At 35.7% G+C, this 23168-nt stretch overlaps 1 long non-coding RNA gene across 1 annotated transcript in view; it reads right to left on the bottom strand.

The window, feature by feature from the left end:
- Positions 1–23168, bottom strand: part of LINC01122 (long intergenic non-protein coding RNA 1122) — a 543014-nt gene that overhangs the window by 371060 nt on the left and 148786 nt on the right. The window lies entirely within an intron of this gene.

Raw genomic sequence — 23168 nt, 5'->3', positions numbered from 1 at the left:
TCTGCAAACAGAGACAATTTGACTTCCTCTCTTCCTATTTGAATACGCTTCTTTCTCTTGCCTGATTGCCCTGGCCAGAACTTCCAATACTATGTTGAATAGGAGTGGTGAGACAGGGCATCCTTCGCTTGTGCTAGTTTTCAAAGGGAATGCTTCCATCTTTTGCCCACTCAGTATGATATTGGCTGTGGGTTTGTCATAAATAGCTCTTGTTATTTTTAGATATGTTCCATCAATACCTGGTTTATTGAGAGTTTTTAGCATGAAGGGGTGTTGAATTTTATTGAAGGCCTTTTCTGCATCATGTGGGTTTTGTCATTGGTTCTGTTTATGTGATGGATTACATTTATTGATTTGTGTATGTTGAACCAGTCTTGCATTCCAGGGTTGAAGCCAACTTGATCGTGATGGATAAGCTTTAATGTGCTGCTGAATTTGGTTTGCCAGTATTTTATTGAGGATTTTCGCATTGATGTTCATCAGGTATATTGACCCGAAATTTTCTTTTTGTGTTGTGTTTCTGCCACGGTTTGGTATCAGGATGATGCTGGCCTCATAAAATGAGTTAGGGAGGAGTCCCTCTTTTTCAATTGTTTGGAATAGTTTCAGAAGAAATAGTACCAGCTCCTCTTTGTACCTCTGGTAGAATTCAGCTCTGAATCTCTCTGGTCCTGGACTTTTTATGGTTGGTAGGCTATTAATTATTGCTTCAATTTCAAAACTTGTTATTGGTCTATTCAGGGATTCGACTTCTTCCTGGTTTAGTCTTGGGAAGATGTATGTGTCCAGGAATTTATCCATTTCTTCTAGATTTTTTAGTTTATTTGCATAGAGGTGTTTATAGTATTCTCTGATGGTCGTTTGTATTTCTGTGGGATCAGTAGTGATCTCCTTTATCATTTTTTATTGTGTCTACTTGATTCTTCTCTCTTTTCTTCTTTATTGGTCTGGCTAGTGGTCTACCAATTTTGTTAATCTTTTAAAAAAAAACCAGCTCCTGGATTCACTGATTTATTGAAGGGTTTTTTGTGTCTCTATCTCCTTCAGTTCTGCTCTTATCTTAGTTATTTCATGTCTTCTGCTAGCTTTTGAATTTGTTTGCTCTTGCTTCTCTAGTTCTTTTAATTGTGATGTTAGGGTGTCTATTTTAGATCTTTCCCACTTTCTCCTGTGGGCATTCAGTGCTATAAATTTCCCTCTAAACACTGCTTTAGCTGTGTCCCAGAGATTCAGGTACATTGTGTCTTTTTTCTCATTGGTTTCAAAGAACTTATTTATTTATGCCTTAATTTTGTTATTTACCCAGCAGTCATTCAGGAGCAGGTTGTTCAGTTTCCATGCAGTTGTGCAGTTTTGGGTGAGTTTCTTGATCCTGAGTTCTAATTTGATTGCACTGTGGTCTGAGAGACTGTTATGATTTCTGTTATTTTGCAATTGCTGAGGAGTGCAATAGACCAAAACTTCCCATTGTGTGGTCAGTTTTAGAATAAGTGCAATGTGGAACTGAGAAGAACATATATTCCGTTGATTTGGGGTGGAGTTTTCTGTAGATGTCTATTAGGTCCATTTGGTCCAGAGCTGAGTTCAAGTCCTGAATGTTCTTGTTAATTTTCTGTCTCGTTGATCTGTCTAATATTGACAGTGGGATGTTAAAGTCTCCCACTATTATTGTGTGGGAGTCTAGGTCTCTTTGTATGTCTCTAAGAACTTTATGAATCTGTGTGCTACTGTATTGGTTACCTATATATTTAGGATAGTTAGCTCTTCTTGTTGTGTTGATCCCTTAACCATTATGTAATGCCCTTTTTTCTCTTTTTTTATCTTTGTTGGTTTAAAGTCTGCTTTATCAGAGACTAGGATTGCAATCCCTGCTTTTTTTTTTTTGCTTTCCATTTGCTTGGTAAATATTCCTCCATCCCTTTATTTTGAGCCTACGTGTGTCTCTGAACATGAGATGAGTCTCCTGAATACAGCAACACCAGTGGGTCTTGACTGTTTATCCAATTTGCCAGTCTGTGTCTTTTAATTGGGGCTTTTAGCCCATTTTCCTTTAAGGTTAATACTGTTATGTGTCAATTTGATCCTGTCATTATGATGCTAGCTCATTATTTTGCCTCTTAGTTGATGCAGTTTCTTCATGGTGTCGATGGTCTTCATAATTTGGTATGTTTTTGCAGTGGCTGGTATCAGCTTTTCCTTTCCATATTTAGTGCTTCCTTCAGAAGCTCTTGTAAGGCAGGCCTGGTGGTGACAAAATCTCTCAAGATTTGCTTGTCTGTAAAGAATTTTATTTCTCCTTTGCTTATGAACCTTAGTTTGACTGGATATGAAATTCTGGGTTGAAAATTCTTTTCTTTAATAATGTTGAGTATTGGCCCTCACTCTCTTCTGGCTTGTAGGGTTTCTGCAGAGAAAACCACTGTTAGTCTGATGGGCTTCCTTTTGTGGGAAACCCAACCTTTCTCTCTGGCTGCCCTTAACGTTTTTTCCTTCATTTCAACTTTGGTGAATCTGATGATTATGTGTCTTGGGGTTGCTTTTCTAAAGGAGTATCTTTGTGGTGTTCTCCGTATTTCCTAAATTTGAATGTTGGCCTCTCTTGCTAGGTTGGGGAAGTTCTCCTGGTTAACATCCTGAGGAGTGTTTTTCAACTTGGTTCCATTCTCCCCATCACTTTAAGGTACACCAATCAAACATAGGTTTAGTCTTTTCACATAGTACCATATTTCCTGGAGGCTTTGTTCATTCCTTTTCATCTTTTTTCTCTAATCTTGTCTTCATGCTTTATTTCATTAAGTTGATCTTCAATCTCTGACATCCTTTCTTCCAGTTGATCAATTCAGCTATTGATACTTGTGTATGTTTCACGAAGTTCTCATGCTGTATTTTTCAGCTTCATCAGGTCATTTATATTCTTCTCTAAACTGGTTATTTTAGTTAGCAATTCCTCTAACCTTTTTTCAAGGTTTTTAGCTTCCCTACATTGAATTAGAATATGCTCCTTTAGCTCAGAGGAGTTTGTCATTACCCACCTTCTGAAGCCTACTTCTGCCAATTCATCAAACTCATTCTCTGTCCAGTTTTCTTCCCTTGCCGGCAAGGAGTTGTGATCCTTTGGAGGAGAATAAGCATTCTGGTTTTGGAATTTTCAGCTTTTTTGCACTGGCTTTTCCTCGTCTTCATGGATTTATCTACCTTTGGTCTTTGATGTTGGTGACCTTCAGATGGAGTTTTTGTGGGGATGTCCTTTTTGTTGATGTTGATGCTATTCCTTTCTGTTTGGTTAGTTTTCCTTCTAACAGTCAGGCCCCTCTGCTGCAGGTCTGCTGGAGTTTGCTGGGGTCCACTCCAGACCCTGTTTACCTGGGTACCACCAGCAGAGGCTGCAGAACAACAGAGATTGCTGCCTGTTTCTTTCTCTGGAAAGTTTCTCCCAGAGGGGCACCTGCCAGACGCCAGCCAGAGCTCTCCTGTATGAGGTGTCTGTTAACCCCTGCTGGGAGGTGTCTCCTAGTCAGGAAGCACGGGGGTCAGGGACCCACTTGAGGAGGCAGTCTGTCCCTTAGCAGAGCTTGAGCACCATGCTGGAAGATCCGCTGCTCTCTTCAGAGTCAGCAGACAGGAATATTTAAGTCTGCTGAAGCTGCGCCCACAGCTGTCCCTCCCCCCAGGTGCTGTGTCCCAGGGAGATAGGAGTTTTATCTATAAGGCCCTGCCTGGGGCTGCTGCCTTTCTTTCAGAGATGCCCTGCCCGGAGAGGAGGAATCTAGAGAGCACAAATTAAATTTAAGTAAAAGTGACAGTGTTAACTTTGGACAATGTAGGCTTCAAGACAAAAAGCATAAAATAGAATAAAAGAGAGTTGTTTTATATTGATAAAAGTTTCATAAAAGATATATCAGCCATGAACCTTTATGAGTCAAATAATATAACATCCAAATATATTAAGCAAAAATTGGCAGGCAGATAAAAATGAAAACGTTGTCATAATAGATTTTAATACAATGTTCCCAGCTTTGGACAGAACATGACGAATTTGACAACATGGAGATTTGGATTATTATAATTAAGATAATGGTAGCATGGAAATTTGACTAGCATAGTTGATAAAATATATTGTGCTTCCAACGCTAAAAGCAGATTTTCCTTGCATTTGAAGAACACATAGTTTGTCAAATTGGTGAGATAATGATCTATAAGAAGAACGAAGTTTATTAGGAGAAGCAGAAATAATGCAGATCAAATTATCTGACTACATTCCCTGAAACTGCAAATATTTTAATCAAGCTTAAAAGATTCACCAATTACTTGAAAATGTTTGTGCATGTGTATCAGAGTGTCTGTATATATACACACAAATACACATATATACATATGAGTACATAAACATGCAAATACTTACACACATATATACATATGAGTACATAAACATGCAAATACTTACACACATATATAATCTAAACTTTTTTTAATAGTAGGAAACTCAAAATTAAAAATATAAATAAATATTACTGTATTTCACAATATCTAGGATTTGCTTTAGAATACTGCAAAAAAAATGGGGGCATGGGGGAATAAGTATGGCAAAATGTTGATAATTGTTGAAGTTTGGTGATAGGTACCTGGGGGGTGATTAAACTATTCTGCTTACATTACATACATGTGAAATTCTTCATATATAAAAGGTGAATATTTTTAAAGTACTGCATACTATAACACATGTTGCTTAAAAAGCTGTAACCTGGAGGCAAATTCATATCCTAAATGCTATCAACAAAGAAAAGTTAGGAAAATCAGAAAAAAAAGATACTATTAAAAATGAAAGCAGAAATAAGTAAAAATGTTTTAAAAAATAAAAATATACTAAAATTAATAATTGTAAGAACTAGTTCTTGCAAAAATTATTGGAGTAAACATTCAAGAAACTCAATCAAGAAAAATTCAAGTATCCAAACCTTAAATAAGTAATGATAATAAAATGAAAGAACATTTAACATGAAAAAGAAAAGAAACTATAAAGCATTAATAATTAATAAAAAAGGAAACCATAATAATCTAGAGGGAAATCTATATGAATATTTAACTTATTTCATGGTAGATTAGTACCACCAAAGCATTAAAGCAATGGATGAAATTAAAAAATAGAAAGCATGATGGATATATTTAATGATAAAATTTATAATGATACATTAAAGCGATCAAAACAAAATTAATATTCAGATGACAAATACGTGGACCTGAATCAGGACAACTACAATAAAGATGGAGAGAAAGGAGATTCAAGAAACACATTACAGTACACCAAAATGGGAAAAAACAGTTGATTTTTATTTGAATGTTGTAGGATAATGATGCCACAACTAGGACAGAAAACCCAGGCTTATACAGGAAAGATGATTTCAATATTCATCTACATGCCCAGTTGCCAGGCCACTGGATTCATAAGTCTGAAGATCAGGGAAGAATTTAGGAGCTAGTAAAATGGGATGGGAGTCATCAGAACAGGGGTAATAATTGTTGGCATGCAAGTCAGAAAAAGCATTCAGAAAGAGAGAACAGAACAAGAAGAGTAGAGGGTAGAAGTTTAAAACTAGATAAAGCTATCTTTTAATGTGAGAACTATAGAAGTGGAGTCCGTAAAAGAAACCAAGAATGAGAAGTGAAAGAGGAACAATGAAAAAGGAGAAAAGAATATCAGGGAAACCAAGGGAGTTGAAGAGCAAATAGAAGATCAGGAAACTGACTAAGAAGAGATTAACATCTGAGGGTTCCAGGTGTCAAGAGCTTGCTTAATCTTAGACTCAGCACATACTGGAATTGGCTGCACACATTTACTTCAGCACTGGTCTGGGGCCAAAGATGAATGATTGCCTTGAAATCAGAATATTGGGACAACCAGAAATTTTGTCTTTTTGGATTACCAGAATAGTGATTTACCATTAAATTACCAGTCTGAAGACCCAGTGCCTTGGTAGAGATTTATCAGCTTGCTACCCACCTTCTGTGGTTGAGGCTTGGTTAAACAGGGAACAGGGCTTATTTGTAAGACAATGAATGATAAAATGGGCCTGCAAGTTGCATACATGTCCAGATAAATCATAATGCCATCTCTTGACAATGGTAGAACGAAAGGATCATCACTTACACCCAAGGGACTATATTCTGTTCATTCAGATGCCTATTTTCCTAAATCCAAGCATCTTTCCAAAAAAAGTAGTTCACTGCACAAAGGTAGGGCCCGTCAAAAAAGTAACCATCACTGAAAATTATTTCAAGATATTGTCCAACAATCATTAGGGGTTGACAAAAATAGAGCATTCCCAGTAGTTATAAACAAAGACCATGCCAGGTAAATACATGAATTAATGAGTTTCAAGTTCACTGCTTAATGAACTGAAGAGGCATTTCAACAAATTCCAAAAGCTAAAATTAAAGGATAAAACGAAGTTTGAGAAGTTTATACTTAAGCTCAATAGTCTGGATGTTGTAGTAGTTACTTTAACAAACACCTTCCTAAGACAATGACTACTCTTATAGTGCCATCTATGCAGTATAATAATAATACTAATAACAACAATTCATCATAATAACAGCCAAGATGTACTCAGGATTTACTATGTCCTAGGCACTAGTCTAACAAGATGAGGAGCAAGAATTCAAACCAGGCAGTCTGACTCCAGAGCCAACCTGCTTAGGCCCAAAACTCTACTGCCTCCCAACTACTCCTGCTGAAATAAAGAGGATGAGACTTTGTCCTCAGATGAAACAGTTTAAACCTGATCTCTGTCACATACAAACTTCAAGGCTCTGGGGAGAATTTCTTTCTAAATTCCTAACAGCATTTGTTTATCATTTACAAGCTAGAGATAATACCTGCCAGCAAGGTAGCAGTAAGAACTGGATGAGATTATGTTGAGTACCTGACAGACAGTCAGTCCTCCACAGAATAACTATAAGATGAGGAGGAGGAGGAGGATCATTCTCATCCTTTGATCTTTGGTCTGGGCGGTATTTATTTGCTACTGGTGCTGTGACATATTACCATAAACTGAGTGGCTTAAAACAACAAAAATGTATTATTTTACAGTTTTGTAGGTGAGAAGTCTGTTGCAGAACTCACTGGACTAAAGTCAAGGTAGGGCAAGAGGGCAATATTCCTTTCAGAAGCTTCTAAAGAGTACTGTTTCCTTGTCATGCCTTTTCCCAGCTTTTTTTATTTTTTATTTTATTTTATTTTTTTTGAGATCAAGGTCTGACTCTGTCACTCCACTGCAGTGCAGTGGTGCAATCATAGTGCACTGCAGCTTTGAACTCCTGAATTCAAGTGATTCTCCTGCCTCAGCATCCTGGGTAGCTGCGATTTCAGGCTTGAGCCACCGTACTCAGCCTTTTCCAGCTTCTTAAAGGAGGCCCACGTTCTTGTCTTAGACCAAACACCCCCCTTTTCATCTTCAAAACCAGCAATGGTAGGTTGAGTCCTTCTGACATTTTATCATCTCAACCTTCTCTTCTGTCTCTGTCTTTCACTTTTAAGGATCCTTATGGTTACTTTAGACTCACTCAGATAATCCAGTGCTAACATGCTTAGCCCAGAGATGCTACTATAATTTCTCTTTTTTCAGGTCAGCTGACTCACAGTCTTAATTTCAACTGCAAACCTAATTCTCCTTTGCCATATAACCTAACATTCACAGGTCTGTGGGATTAGAACATAAACACCTTTGAGGAGCCATTATTCCACCTAACACAAAGACATTTTTGAGAAAGGTTTTCTTTAGCTTCTTGATGCCTATTCTGGGCTATACTGAGTTAACTGACCTCCTACTAACACCTATACAGTATATAAACGATGGGGTACTCTACCACATTTTTGTGCAACCACCCTGTCTTAGTCTGTTTGGTAATGTTAGAATGCCACAGACTCACAGACTGAGTAACGTGTATACAATAGAAATTTATTTCTTGCAGTTCTGGAGGCTGAGAATACCAAGATCAAGGAGCTGACATCTGGTAAGGACTTTCTTGCTGTCATCCCATGGTGGAAGGGCAAAGAAGAGTAAGGGAGACCAAGAGCTCAAATTCACATCCTTAAGCCCTTTTATCACCAACATTAATCCACTCGTGAGGGTGGGAGCCCAAATGACCTAAAAACCTCCCAGTAGGCCCCACCTCTTAACACGGTTGCATTGTGGATTAAGTTTCCAACACACGTTTTCTGGAAACAAATTCAAACCATAACACACCCCTAGGCTTTTTTTCTTTTAAGTAAATCTGTACTTGGAAGGTGACAGTTGTCCTAAGGGATGGTGCTGTTGAAAAGATAAATTGTTGCAAAGGGAGTATAGAGTTTCTATTGCCGTATTTCTGGTCAATAAATGAAGAAAGGAAGATTAACCAAATAAAGGTAATAAAAATATTTTCTTCTATGATACTTGTGAATCAAAGCACATCTGGAAATAGAAAGATTAGTTGTTGAATTAAGAGACATTCACACACATTCATTTCATTTCATGTTATTTTCTCAAAACCACACTTTTGTGTACAATCCTCAATCATAATGCTAGTTCATTCATAACACTTTCTTAACTAAAAGTCACTCATGGCTTTCCATTACATATGGAAAACAGCTAAACACAATTAATTCATCACCTGTCCTGAATAACCTTACCCTTATGTAAGGTCCTCCATCTCCAAACAAATTTTAATCACTATGTCCCAAAGAGAAATAGACATGGGCCACACCATTTCTGCCTAAAGTACCCACCTCAGCACCACCTAATTATCTAAATTATTCTTATTCCTCAAGACTTCATTTAAATATAATTCAACAAAACCACATTGAAATACCACCTCACACCAGTCAGAGTGGATATGACTAAAAAGTCAAAAAATAACAGATGTTGGTGAGGTTGTGGAGAAAAGGGAATACTTGTACACTGCTGATGGGAATTTAAATTATTTCACCCACTGTGGAAAGGAGCTTGGAGATAACTCAAAGAACTTAAAACAGAACTTTTTTTTTTGTCTTGCTTTGCCACCAGGCTGGAGTGCAGTGGTGCAATCTCAGCTCACTGCAACCTCCACCTCCTGGGTTCAAGCGATTCTCCTGCCTCAGCCTCCTGAGTAGCTGGGACTACAGGTGCATGCCACAACACCCAGCTAATGTTTTTGTATTTTTAGTAGAGACATAGTTTCACCATGTTGGCCAGGATGGTCTTGATCTCTTGACCTCGTGATCCCCCACCTCGGCCTCCCAAGGTGCTGGGATTACAGGCGTGAGCCATCATGCCCAGCCAAAACAGAACTTTCATTGAACCCAGAAATCCTACTATTGGGTATATGCCCAAAAGAAAATAAACTGTTCTATCGAAAAGACACATGCACTTGTGTGTTCACTGCAGCACTATTCACAATAACAAAGACATGGCATCAACTTATATGCCCATCAATGGTGGATGGATAAAGAAAATATGGTACATATACACCATGGAATACTACATAGCCATAAAAAGAATGTGACTGTGGCCTTTGCTGCAACATGGATGCAGCTGAAAGCCGTCATCCTAAGCAAAGTAACACAGGAAAAGAAAATCAAATACCACACGTTCTCACTCATAAGTGGACGCTAAACATTGCGTATGCATGGACACAAAGATGGAGACAACAGACACTGAGGACTACTGGAGTGAAAAGGGTGGGAGGGAGACATGGGCTGAAAAACTACCTATTGGGTACTAGGTATGCTATCTGGGTGATGGGATCGTTCCTACACCAAATTTCAGCAACACACAATTTATCCATGTAACAAACCTGCACAGGTACCCTCTGAACCTAAAATAAAAGTCAAAAAAGAAAAATAATAAAAATAAGATAGATACAAGTCTATGTGTGATACTTTTCCTGATAAATCCACTCACAATGCTCTGGAGATTCTATAACAAGGCCTGCCAGTAACTTCTTTTGTCACTTGTCATGGATAAATGTCTATAAATATGATCTTTTATTTCCTTGGTACATATACAGGTGCCCACCCTTTCAAAATCTTTGAAATGATAGGCCGATTCATTCATTTAAGTTTGGATTTGGAATATCCCCCAATATTATTTCTGCAAAATTTCAAAGCCAATTCTGATATTTGAGGCGTTTTTTCCAACACATACTCTGAAAGTGTATTTCTATAAAGTATTAAAAGTATTATGCAATTTCATAGACCCAAATGAACATTTAAAATGGGATAAATTACAATAAAATAGTGCAGTACTTTCCTGCCACCAGATTGCAGGGATACTATTATACTAATAAATAAAAAGGGATATGATAAACTGTTTTCAATTAGGTACTATTTGGAACTATATTAAGTATTCTAATAAGAGGAGAAAATGGCAATATAAAAATGCTTATGGAGAAATGCAACAGAATAAACATTTAATGAAAAGTTCAGAGGGGAGAAATGGATTCTCATCTATTCTTTTTCTGGAAAACAAAGATTCTCAATACAAGAGGCCAATTCAAATGTAGTTTGGGGAAGAAGAAGCAGCACAGGATAAAGGAAGGAAACTGCTGAGGAGTGGGGGTTCCTGGGCGAGTCATTTAACATCTCTATGCCTCAGTTTACATGCCAATAAAAGATAAAATATCAAACTACATGATTTCCAAGATTGACTCATTCTCAGAAGTTCCAACATAATCTGATGTAAGAAATCTACTCATCATCTAGGTGTATGCTATAGTTCATAATTCATTTCAAGTAATCTTTATCTTTTTAACAAAACATCATCTTAATATATATAGACATTATCCAAGTAAAAGATTGTCTTAAATTATGTTCATTAAAGTGAAATCATAATAAAATTTTACTCTTTACCTAAAGGAACAAAATGTAGCAATCGTTCTTGAAAATACACCATGATCTTAATTTTAAAATACATGTTGTGAGTTTATTATATTCCATTAAACATCTTTGAAATGTTCCCTTGTAATACCTTTGTAACAACTGTATACTACTGAATAGACCCCTGCTTTCATAAAACAAAACACTCCCACATAATTTTCCCCTTGTGATCTTTCTATTTGTGACATAGTTGCTGAATTAAAACATTTAGTGCCCAGGCACAGTGGCTCATGCCTGTAATCCCAGCACCTTGGGAGGCCGAGGCAGGCAGATCACCTAAGGTCAAGAGTTTGAGACCAGCCTGGCCAACATGGTGAAACTCCAATTTTACAAAAAAAAAAAAAAAAAAAATACAAATATACAAAAATTAATTGGGCATGGTGGCAGGTGCCTGTTATCCCAGCTACTCAGGAGGCTGAGGCAGGAGAATAGCTTGAACCAGGGAAGCAGAGGTTGCAGTGAGCCGAGATCACACCACTGTGCTCCAGCCTGGGTGACAAGAGAGAAACTCCATCTCAAAAGTAATAAAAATAAATAAAAATAAAACACTTGGCCATGAGCATGAGTATTTTAGCGGCTTTTCCTATTTACTCAAATAGGTTTGTCAACCACATGTTATTCCAAAGATTTGTCAACCACATATTACAAATGTACTTAAAAATCTTTTTTTTTGTACCACAAGGTGGCATCTTCTTATTTTGGTATAAACCTCTGAATATTTACATAATTTGAATAATTGCATACACCTGAAGTATTTTTTAAAATTTTAAAACAACCATTTAACAGCTGTGCAAATATATGGCAGTTCTGTTAGCTAATGCAAGTAGTACTTTTGGATATTTATGTTCCTGGAATGTTCAGAATATTCAGTCTTTAACAAAATGATGAGCTGTTCACACTAAAAAGTCAATAAACACTGTCCTCCAAATGTTAAGCTCATAGAGATTAGTAATACAAAACATACACTGTAAAATGTATGGATTTAAATGGAAGCTTCCTTAAAAACAGCCACAAATGTGGAACAGACCAAGTCCACATCAGTTTGCTAATTACCCTTAATACTCGGATAAAATAAGTAATGCACATTTGTACAATGCCTACTCTGTGCCTGGCTCTGTGCTAGGCACTTTAACCTATCTTCTTACATTTCATGAGAAAATCTCTCTGAATATACCAATTCTAAAGCCAAATGCAATAGTCTAGTTCCTCTGAAACTGAATAGCTATATCAATATCCTGAGGAGCTTGATAAAACGTAAAATGCTAAGCCATATCTCCTAAAAATTTCAAGTGTAAAACAGTGCAATGCATAATGAAAACCCACAAATATTAATAAGGAATTCTGCCACACTAAAAATAAACTTCAAGATAACTCTGAAAAAAAAAATCTCAAAAAAAAAAAAAAGACAGCAATCTAAAACGAATTGGTAAATATATAAAACATATTGACAAAATACTAAGCCTGTTTACTTCTGGCAGTTATGAAAATCATAATTCTTAATATGGCTCACTTGAAATTTCAGGTCATTGCTTCTTGTCCCATATTTAGTGATGAAAAATTGATGATGAGCGTGATGAGGATTCTTAAGATGAGTGGAAAAAAATAAGACTATATAGGGTAAGATTTATCTTAGTCACTGCACTTTCTTATACCCAATAACTTATCATTTTGTAAAAAATAAATGGAAGACATTTCCTATGGGGGTACATAAATATAGTAAAAATTACAATAGGGTCACAAACAGCACTGTGCTTAGGGATGTGTGTCATAACCTTTCCAAGTCAACATAGTCACTGGTAACAAGATTTGCTCAGTGGCAGAATATGTCCATGAATTAGAGGCAGTATCTTGTCCATGGATATATTCTTCCCTTGTACATAAATACATACTGCTGCAGTTAAAATACTGTAGTCTAGTACTTTTTGATCTAGCATGATTACTGATTAAAGATGCAAGTATTGTCAACAAAGAAAAATTCTCAAGTCTTGAAAAAATTGTAGCTAATAAGATCATAGTTAATATTAAAAATGATTCTCAGATTCCTCATTATCATCTTATAGGCATACTCTCTTTCATGCTCACATATATCTACACACATCCACATAAACATACACATGCATTCATATGCCTGGATGCTGGAGGCAACTGCCATTACCTTTAATTCTGTTTTTAGACAGAATAATAATGGTGCAGAAACACTGTGATCTTTATTGGGTCAATCAGATATGAACCTGTAAAGTTGCTTCTTTCTAGCATTTTCAGTCTGTTGCATGCCAACTCCCTCAGGTATGGAAGTAGATAGAAAAATTGTAGTTTAAACAAAATATTAAACTGACAAATAATCCCTACCTCACACCACACATCAAATTTAATTACAGGGCTTACAAAAAGAAAATAAACTACAATGGCACTAGAGGGTGTTCCATCCTGGGACAGAAAAAATTTGAAATGCATGACGTCAAAAGTATAACATAACAGAAAAAATGGATGAGTTTTTTACTTCAGTTTGATAAACTTCATATATATATACATATATATGCCATGTATGTATATACACATATATATAAATGTATGGCATATATATACACACACATATATATACCATACATTTCTCATATATAGATATAACTGTGCGTATATATATATACACACACACATATACAACTGTGTGTGCATATATCTATACACACATATATACACACATACATATATATGTCATATATAACTATAATATACATATAGTTATATATGTATTCCATATATAACAGTGTGTGTATATACATACGGCATACAGTTTTTATAATACGAAAACAGCAAGCGTCTTCATAGAAACTGGACAAAGTAGACAATTTACAAAGAACTACTAATATAAATAAACATAAGAAACTCATGTAACACCATTAGAAATAAAAGAAATTCAAATTAAAACAATAATGCAAGGTCTTTTTTATCTTTTGGATTGGAATATTTTTATTCTAACACCTAATATTGAAAGGTAGGGAAGGAAACTGGCCTCTGGAATACTGATATTGGGAATGTAAACTGGTACATTTCTAGAAGGCAATTTAGCCATGCATGCAAAAAGTTTTAAAATGTACATATTTTTAACTAGCAAATGCACATGTAGTAATATATTCAAAAGATACATGTAAAAAGATATAATGTCCACGTAAAATTAAAAACCTAAGGATCCAACAAGCCCTTCAACCGGTTATACTGAAGTTATTAAATATGATTGAAAAATAAATAATTTCAATGAATTGAGGTGTATATACTCTTAAATAAATACTTATGAAATAGAATAAACACTTTATTCTTAACTTAGGAAAAAGAAAAGACACATAAACATAAGAGGAAGACTCTAGGGATATACACTGAAACATTTAGCAGAGATCATTTGAAAGGGCTTTATTACATGTGTTTTTAGTTAGTTTTTATTTTCTAAAATTTTCTTAATTAGTGTGATGGTTAATTTTATGTGTCAACTTAGCTAGGCTATGGTGCCCAGCATATGGTGCCTATCCTACTGTCACAACGAATGGTAAATGTGTGCCCTGATCACCTGCCCGGTGCCTGCCTGTGGCAACCCTACCATGCTGACAGTGCTACCCCTCATGTGCAGGTAAAAGCTGGCTGTCATCTGTGGGATCCATAAGCAAATGAAGTTTAAAACATTTTAAACTCATAAGAAGCCAGTCTAGATGTTGCTGTGAAGGAATTTTTTAGTTGTGATTAACATTTATTAACATTTATAATTGGTAGATTTTAAGGAAGGCAGATTTCCCTCTATAATGTGGGTGGGCCTCATCCAATCAGTTGAAAGTCTCAAAGGAAAGAATGTCGTTCTTTCTGTTTCAAGACTGCAGCATACAGACTCTGCCTGAGTTTCTAGACAGCTCGTCCTGCCCTGCAGACTTTGGACTCAATACGACATCAATTCCTGCCTGAGTTTCTAGGCTGCCAATCTATCCTACAAATTTCAGAATTGCCAGCTCCCACAATCATGAGAGCCAATTCCTTAAAATAAATCTCTCTCTAGATACACACACACACACACACACACACACACACACACACACACACACACCCCTTTTGGTACTGGAGAACCCTAATGCAATGACCATCTACTAGTTTTGGCATAAGAAAAAAAATGACTAGAAAGATCTTTAAAAATTAAAGAATAAATTGAAAATGAGAAAAAAAATCAAATTTTCCTGGAGATAAAGCAACATGACTGAGAAAAAAGATCCTGTTTCTCTACTTATTATTTAAGGGTCACTGACTAGCATGCACAAGGTGGACAAAAATGTGAAAAAAATTTTTATATCAGCTCCACATAATCACATCTCTGCCATTTCTATTATGTGGGATTATGAAATTTGTCATTTGTCTGCTATTTACAGGTAAAATTTTAATAATTTATACCATGTAACCATTTGCCGATAAGATAAACTGCAGTCCTGAAGGTATTTCACTTGGAAAATAAGAAACATTTTCCATTTTGTTGCCTTTTCATATTAATATCTGCTAGTCTATCATGCTAATTAATAAAGGTAGCAGGCAGAGTAAGTCTCAGTTTTTTTTCTAATTTTGTTTAATTTATCAAATGGAAAATAATCTAGCAAAGTCATTAATTTAATTTCTTCTGAGAGGGAATCATTACTAGATATGTTAAATTTTCAACAATGCAGCTTCAAAACAGCTGTAGCCATGGAAAATTTTTATAGTTTTAATTGAACATCTGTGCATTTTAATTGATTAATTTGAAGAAAATACAAGAAAAGAAAAAAGAACAGTAGGTAAAATGAATTTAACAAACCACTTTTTCGTTTTTCTCTGCTTCTTACTTAATTTTTCAGTATAAATAAAACAGAAGATTATCAAACAACATTAAATCATTCCCATGACTATAAATACACTCATATTAATTTAGCAGAGTAGGCAAGTATTTTATGACAGGATTGTTTCCAATCAAAAACATATACAAGGATACATATGTGAACATATATAGTATTTATTCAGATTCCTGCCTCTATGGAAAATATTAAGGCAATTCACTTAGGACAACATCCCAAACAGTGTAAAAATACTCCAATGCCCCAACCACCAACGCTGCTACCATTATGCACATAAGGGTGCATAAAGCTAAAGATATTTCTGTAATTTTTGCAACATCCAACAGACCATTCTTCCCATTTTGTTTTCCCTTTTAAATGTATCACCTGCTTACCAACTCACACTTCCTTAATGCCTCACCAATTTCATCATCAATACTTAACTGCCACAGGCATGGCCGTAGCCCTGGATTTCTCATTTTTCCCCAGTATTTAGAAAGAATGGAGCTCCAGAACAATATATTAGCTATAAAAAGAACTATGAAAAACCTGTCGAGAAACAGCAGTAAAATAGCCACACAATTCCCTTAGACACACTGAGCTATACGAAACACTGGGGAGAGTTTGCTCTTAGTTATCATTGCTATTTAACTGGCCAACACATTCTGTTCTTAAGTAAGATCAAAGATATTTTTGTCAACACCATTTGAAAACCAACAGAAAGGATAGATGCATTTCTCCATTCTGTTAAGAAATGAAAGAAAAGTAAATGTCTCCTTTAGTTAAGGGACAAGTGCAAATAATTCTGCATAACCCTGAATAAAAATAATCATCATGGTAATAAGAGTTAATGATGTGTTTACATTAATTCAGAATTAGTCAAATTTAAACTTTTGGTAAGATGTTAGTGTGTTCTTTCTGTGCTAGAAGAATGTGCAGAGAGAAATATACTATTTTAGAATGTGATTTGTCATCTAGGCACTTTTAAAACCACAAGAGCAGCCATGTGGGGCAGCACAGTGTTTAACCTTACAGTAGTTGCTCATTTAATGTTTGTAAGTTCTTTGAGAGCTTTCCATTTAGAATGTAAATGTGCTAATTACAGATTAGTCTTATACCTTTACTAAGGAAGGTAATAAATAACAAATATCTGGCAACATGTTTGTAGGTATTGATTTTCTATTTAAATGAATGTAAGAGTCTTTAGTTTACAATAGTTTATCACTCCCTAACCCGCAAGCAAGTTATTTCCTCTGTCAAGTAGGCCTCCCTGCAATGGTTATACCTACGCAAAGTTCCTCCATCCTGGATAACCCTTCACATCTCCAGGATTATTATAATTTAAATGTCTTCACCACTTCTTACCACAAATGTATAAGATATTCAAGTTAGCAAGCTATGTATTTCAAATTGGTACTATTGTACAGAATTTGTAGGTAGGTGTACTTTAAAGATAATTTTTATCTGTGATGAGAAAAGAAATATCCACCAGACTCTCCTTTACAGTGAGTACAATCTTGGTTGAAAGTAAATCTTTCATAAAATTAGAATAGACTAGAGACAGGTATTACAGTAAACAGGAATGGAAGTTTTCTGAATGACACTTGCCTCAACCTCAAGTGAATGAGGTGAATTTTAGAGAGCAGAAAAGAAATTGGTGAAAGTCCCCATAGACAGCATAATGACCTTCTCCTCCGTTACTCCTTACCCCTCCCACAACACACACGTGCTTGCACACACATACACACACACACACACACACACACGCATACACACAAACTACAAACTTATTAACTGCTTGATGCTGGTAGTCTTTTTTTTAGTGTGAAAACTAGTAAAGAACTGGGTATTGTATCCCAACTGTCCTGTGCCACATGAGACATCCAAATTACGTTCAGGAGCATGAAGATTCAGAACAAGTGAGACAAAGAAACATACCACAAGCAGAAGGTTACTGACTATCCCAGGACACGCAACTGGTCTCCAAGAGTCAAGAGGGCTTACATCACCGGGTTACACAGCTATGAGACAAACACCAAATTCCAGATTTGAATAATACTTGGCAGAAATATTATAGAGGGGATTTAACCTTCAAAAAGGGGGTCAGTCTTTAACACTCTTTCCAAACGGGAAAACCTGTATTTCTATGATTATGTCTGCAGTTGAGAGAAATGACTAGCAAACTAGCAAATTAGCCTTTTAATTATACTTCAGTTCTATGAAACAATTGCTAAGTAAATCCAGATGTTTACATCAAGGTTGATTTTACATAAAGGTACTCCATTATTTTGCCTTCTGGTTCTTGAATAAAATCTTTTAAGATGTAAACAGTTTCCATTCTTCATAGGTGTGGCTATTAGGATTTCAGCTATGACACATGACACAATAATATAATTACAAAATACAATCTTATTTGGCTCTAGAATGGAAGCAAAGACATCCAAGATCCCAAGACAATTTTGGCAATCAGGATATCTAGCTCACAGTTTTAGGTCCAGAAAGCTACAATACAGTGAGTCCAAATATTTACATAAACAATGTCTACTTTTATTTCACTTTTCCCAGAAGTTTCGTGTTTACTTTGTATGAAATGTGGATTTTTAACGCAAAAATTTATGGACTGGACAATGGAACAGAAACAGAATGTGGTACAAATAAATGTTTAGTAATACAATAAAACAACAATTACAAATTTGGGGATGAATTACTAAACAAAGTATTGAGAAAATTGGGGAAATATTGAGAAAGAAATTATGTTAAATTCTCACCATTATGAATAATGGGAATAGTTGAAATTCCCTCATCAGTATTTGGCACAAGGATGTCTCATTAGTCTCAGATACCATGAAGAGGCAGAGTTTCTGATCATCACATAACCATTGTTATCACACCAAGATAATGCGATTTTAGTGAAATGCAAAGAGATATGACACTAGTTAGCATGCACAGCATTTTTGCTTATTTATATGAAATAATTTAGATTAGGAAGTTTTACTTTAGAAACTGTGTCTCACTCAGTTGCCCAGACAGGGATACAGTGGCAGAGTCATTGCTCACTGTATTCTCAAACTCCTGGGCTCGAGCAGTCCTCCCACCTCAGCCTCCTGAGTAGCCAGGAATAGAGGTACATGCCACCATAACTGACTAATTTTTAAAAATACATATATATAGAGAGAGAGAAATCAGCCGTGGTGGCTCACACCTGTAATCCCAGCACTTTGGAAAGCTGCAGAAGGTGGATCACTTGAACCCAGGAGTTCAAGACTAGCCTGGGTGACATGGCAAAACCCTGTCTCTACTAAAAATACAAAATTTATCTGGGTGGTGCATGCATGCCTATAATCCCAGCTACTCAGGAGGCTGAGGTGGGAGGATCAACCGAGCCTGATGGGAGGATCACCTGAGCCTGGTAGGTTGAGGGTGCAGTAAGCCAAGATTGTACCGCTGCATTCCAGGCTGGGCAATAGAGTGAGACCTTGTCTTAAAATAAAAAAATAAATAAAAATGTTATAAGTGAGGTCTCACTACATTGCCCAGGCTCGATTCAAACTCCTGAGCTCAAGTGATCTTCCTCTCTCAGCTTCCCAAGTAGCTGGGACTACAGGTGCAGTGGAAACATCCTATTAATACATGTTCAAGTGGGCAAGAAAGTTAAGTAAACCCCCAAGGCCAGAACTGAAGAAAAACCTGAAAACCAGAGCAAAAAATATATGCACTGCCCAGGATGGGTTGTGTGGAGGTGTGCATAAAGATCTTTCTTGGTAATTCCAAAGCTTCATTTTGAACACAGACCCAGTGATAAGATAAAGGGCCTCAAGCTTCAGAAGAAACAGATGGGAACTGAGACAATCCCTCCTTCTACATCATCATGAAAATCAGGACCTTCATGGGACTACATCCTGAGTGGACTCAAAAAATCCACCAACTGGTACAAAAAGATGACACAAAAGGTTCCCTCCTTCTGAGTTGGAATAGAAGAGGAAAAAACAATCTCTGGAAATGTATGATCAGAGGGCAGGTGAAGAAAATGTGGTTTAATTTTAGTCCTATGATTTGGGAATTCCTAAGTCATGAAACTGGCATAATAACTGCCCACAGATTAGGATACACCTCAGGACATCTGGTAGAAGATAATGCAAAAATATTCTGTAGACATACACTCTTAATACAGATAGCACAGGATTCCCAAGACAGTACCATGCTAAGGATGACAGCTGTTAGTTTACAATTACAAAACACATTTAAAAAATCAAGAGTTCAGACACAACTAAGAGTTAGTGGACACAATTAAAAACAGGATTTGCCTTTCAGGACTTCATAAGATTGAAGTAGTTGATGGAAACCAAATCAATAAGTATTACTTATGTCATGAGAAAGTTACCAGCCATTCAACATTCTATAAAAGAAAATAGTAACTTCACCATTTAGAATGAGTAGGGTAATTTGCTTGCATTTATTGACTAACGTATCTAGGCTTCATATATCAATTTTAGAAATTTAAATGGCAATATGATTGTTAACAGGTCATTTGAAATAATGTTATGAGTATTTTAATAATTCTTTTCAGGTCCAAACGGTGTAAAAGGTCTTTTTTCACAAATCAGTATTAGATATACATAAAAGTCAAAAGCATTTATCAAAAGACAAAAATCACATCATGAATTTGGTCATTAATTCGTTAAGTATTTATCTATTTTCTTCCAATGAGCAGCATTATTTTAAGTGCTGAAGAAGAAGTTGAAATTTTTGAGTGCCAGATGCTGTTACATATTTTAATCCCTAAAGCAACTTTAAAAAATAATTTGAAGGAAAAAAAGCTAATAGGAAAATTAAATTGGAATTTTTAAATACTAAATTAACCCAAAAGAAGGCAAGAAAGGTGAACAAAAGAACTAAAAGCCAATGGGATAAATAGAAAACAAATAGCACATTCTAGACTTAAACCCAACCATATTCTAATTACACAAAAAATTAAAAGGCCGAAATAGCATGAATAATAAACAAGGCAAACACAAACATGTATACTAGATATACTTCAAATGTGATAATAGCATAAAAGTAAATGGATTGAAAAGCTGTGTAAGGCAAATAGTAAGTATAAGAAAGCTGATGCTGCTATAATAATATCAGACAAATTAGACTTCATGTCACTGAGTATTACCGGAAATAAAAAGGGACATTTTATAATAAACAAAGGCTCAAATTGTCAGAAAGACATGACAACCATAATGTGTGAGTATATAATAACAGAGCTCCAAAATGCTAAAAACAAACATCAACAGAAATAAAGAAAAATACAGATAAATATATGGTCTTAAGTATAGATTTTGACACTCCTTTCTCCAAAACTTATAGAACAAATAGAAAAAATATAATAGATACATAGAATATTTCCAGAATTGACCTCATTGATACTTATAATATAGCACACCCAATAACTTAGAATACAATGCTTTTAAGTACACAGTGGACCATAGATGAATCTAAATACATTTGAAGGTTTGAAATCTTATAGTACCTGTTTTCTGATGATAATAGAATTGAAATCTGGAATCAATAAAAATAAGGTAGTTAGAAAATCACCAAATATTTGAAAATTAAATAGTAGACCTATTTGATCTGCAGATCAAAAAAAGAATTGATAAAGAGAACTTAGAAAATATTCAAACTGAATAACAACTCAGCATATCAATAATTGTGGGATACAGCTATGGAAGTAATTGAAGAGGAATGTATAGTTTTATATGTTTATATTACAAAAGAACATTAAAGATATAAAATCAGTGATCTAAGTTTCTATCTTAAGAATACATAAAAAGAAAAAATAAACCAAAGTAGAAAGAAGGAAATAATAAGGATAAAAGCATGATCAGTAAGTTCAAAAACAAACAGTAGAAAAAATTAACAGGGCCAAAATTTGACTTTTAAAAGATTAATAAAATTGATGAACCTGTTTCAAAACTAATTTTAAAAAGAGAGAGTACACAAAATACCAATATCAGAAACAAAAGTGGGGATATATCACTATAGACACTAGAGATAATAAAAAAGATATTAAGAAAATATTATTTACAAATTTATGTGCATAAATTCAACAATTTAGGGAAATGAATAAATTCCTTATAAAATAAAACTTGCCAAAGTGATATGGAAGAAAAAGAAAATCTGCATAGCCACTTATCAAGTAATTACATTTAAATTATCATTTAAATCTGTTCCACAAAGAAAACTCCAGATCTGGCTGGTTTTACTGGTGAGCTCTATCAACATTTTAAAAAGAAATTATAACTCTTACACAAACTCTTTCTAAAAATAGAGAAGGAAGGCTCATTTCTCAACTTATTTTAGGAGCTAACATAACTCGAACACCAAAACCTGGCAATGATACTGTTCAGGAAAAAAACAAAAGCAAAACAAAAACAAAAAAATTACAGACTGATACTACTGTGGATATATATACACAAGTATCTCTAACAAAATATTAGCAAATTGAATCTAAACTACATAAAAAAGCTAATACATCATAATCAAGGTTATAATAATACATCATACCTAATATATCTAAGGCTGATTTCATAACTGAAAATAAATCAATAAAATGCAACATATTAACAGAATGAACAGGAAAAGCCATATGATCTTCCCAGTAGATGTGAGGTGGGAGGTAGGAATTGACCCTGGAGGTTGTGCCCAGACACTGGACCAAATTGAGGACTAGCTAAAACAGGGATAGTGTGGAAGCAGTTTACCATAAGACATGCCTGTGAGTGTGCCATGTCAGTTTACCATTGTCATGGCAACACCCAGAAGTTACTACCACTTTCCACGGCAATGACCCAACAACGCAGAAGTTACCACGCTTTTCCTAGAAATTTCTGCATAATCTGCCCCTTAATTTGCATGTAATTAAAAGTGGCTAAAAATACACGGCCGACTGCCTCTGAGCTGCTACTCTGGGCATGCCCCCTATGGGATAGCCCTGCTCCGCAAGGAGCAGCAACTCTGCTGCTACTGTACACTGCTGCTTTAATAAAAGTTGCTGCCTAGGCCAGGTATGCTGGCTCACACCTGTAATCCCAGCATTTTGGGAGGCTGAGGCAGGGAGATCACTTGAGGTCAGGAGTTCAAGACCAGCCTAGCCAACACGGTGAAACCTATCTTTACTAAAAATACAAAAAAATTAGTTAGGTGTGGTGGCGCACACCTATAGTCCCAGTTGGGAGGCTAAGGTGGACGGATCACTTGAACCCCAGAGGCAGAGGTTGCAGTGAGCTGAGATTGTGTCACTGCACTCCAGCATGGATGACAGAGCCAGACTCCATCTCCAAACAAAACAAAACAAAATACAAAGTTGCCATCTAACACCTCCGGCTCACCCCTGAATTCCTTCCTGGGTGAAACCATGAACCCTTCTCAGGCTAAGCCTCAATTTTGGGGTTCCT

The sequence above is a fragment of the Homo sapiens genome, chromosome 2, assembly GCF_000001405.40.
Source record: "Homo sapiens chromosome 2, GRCh38.p14 Primary Assembly".
NCBI classification, from domain to species: domain Eukaryota; kingdom Metazoa; phylum Chordata; class Mammalia; order Primates; family Hominidae; genus Homo; species Homo sapiens.
This window is presented reverse-complemented; position numbering and strand designations above follow the sequence as displayed.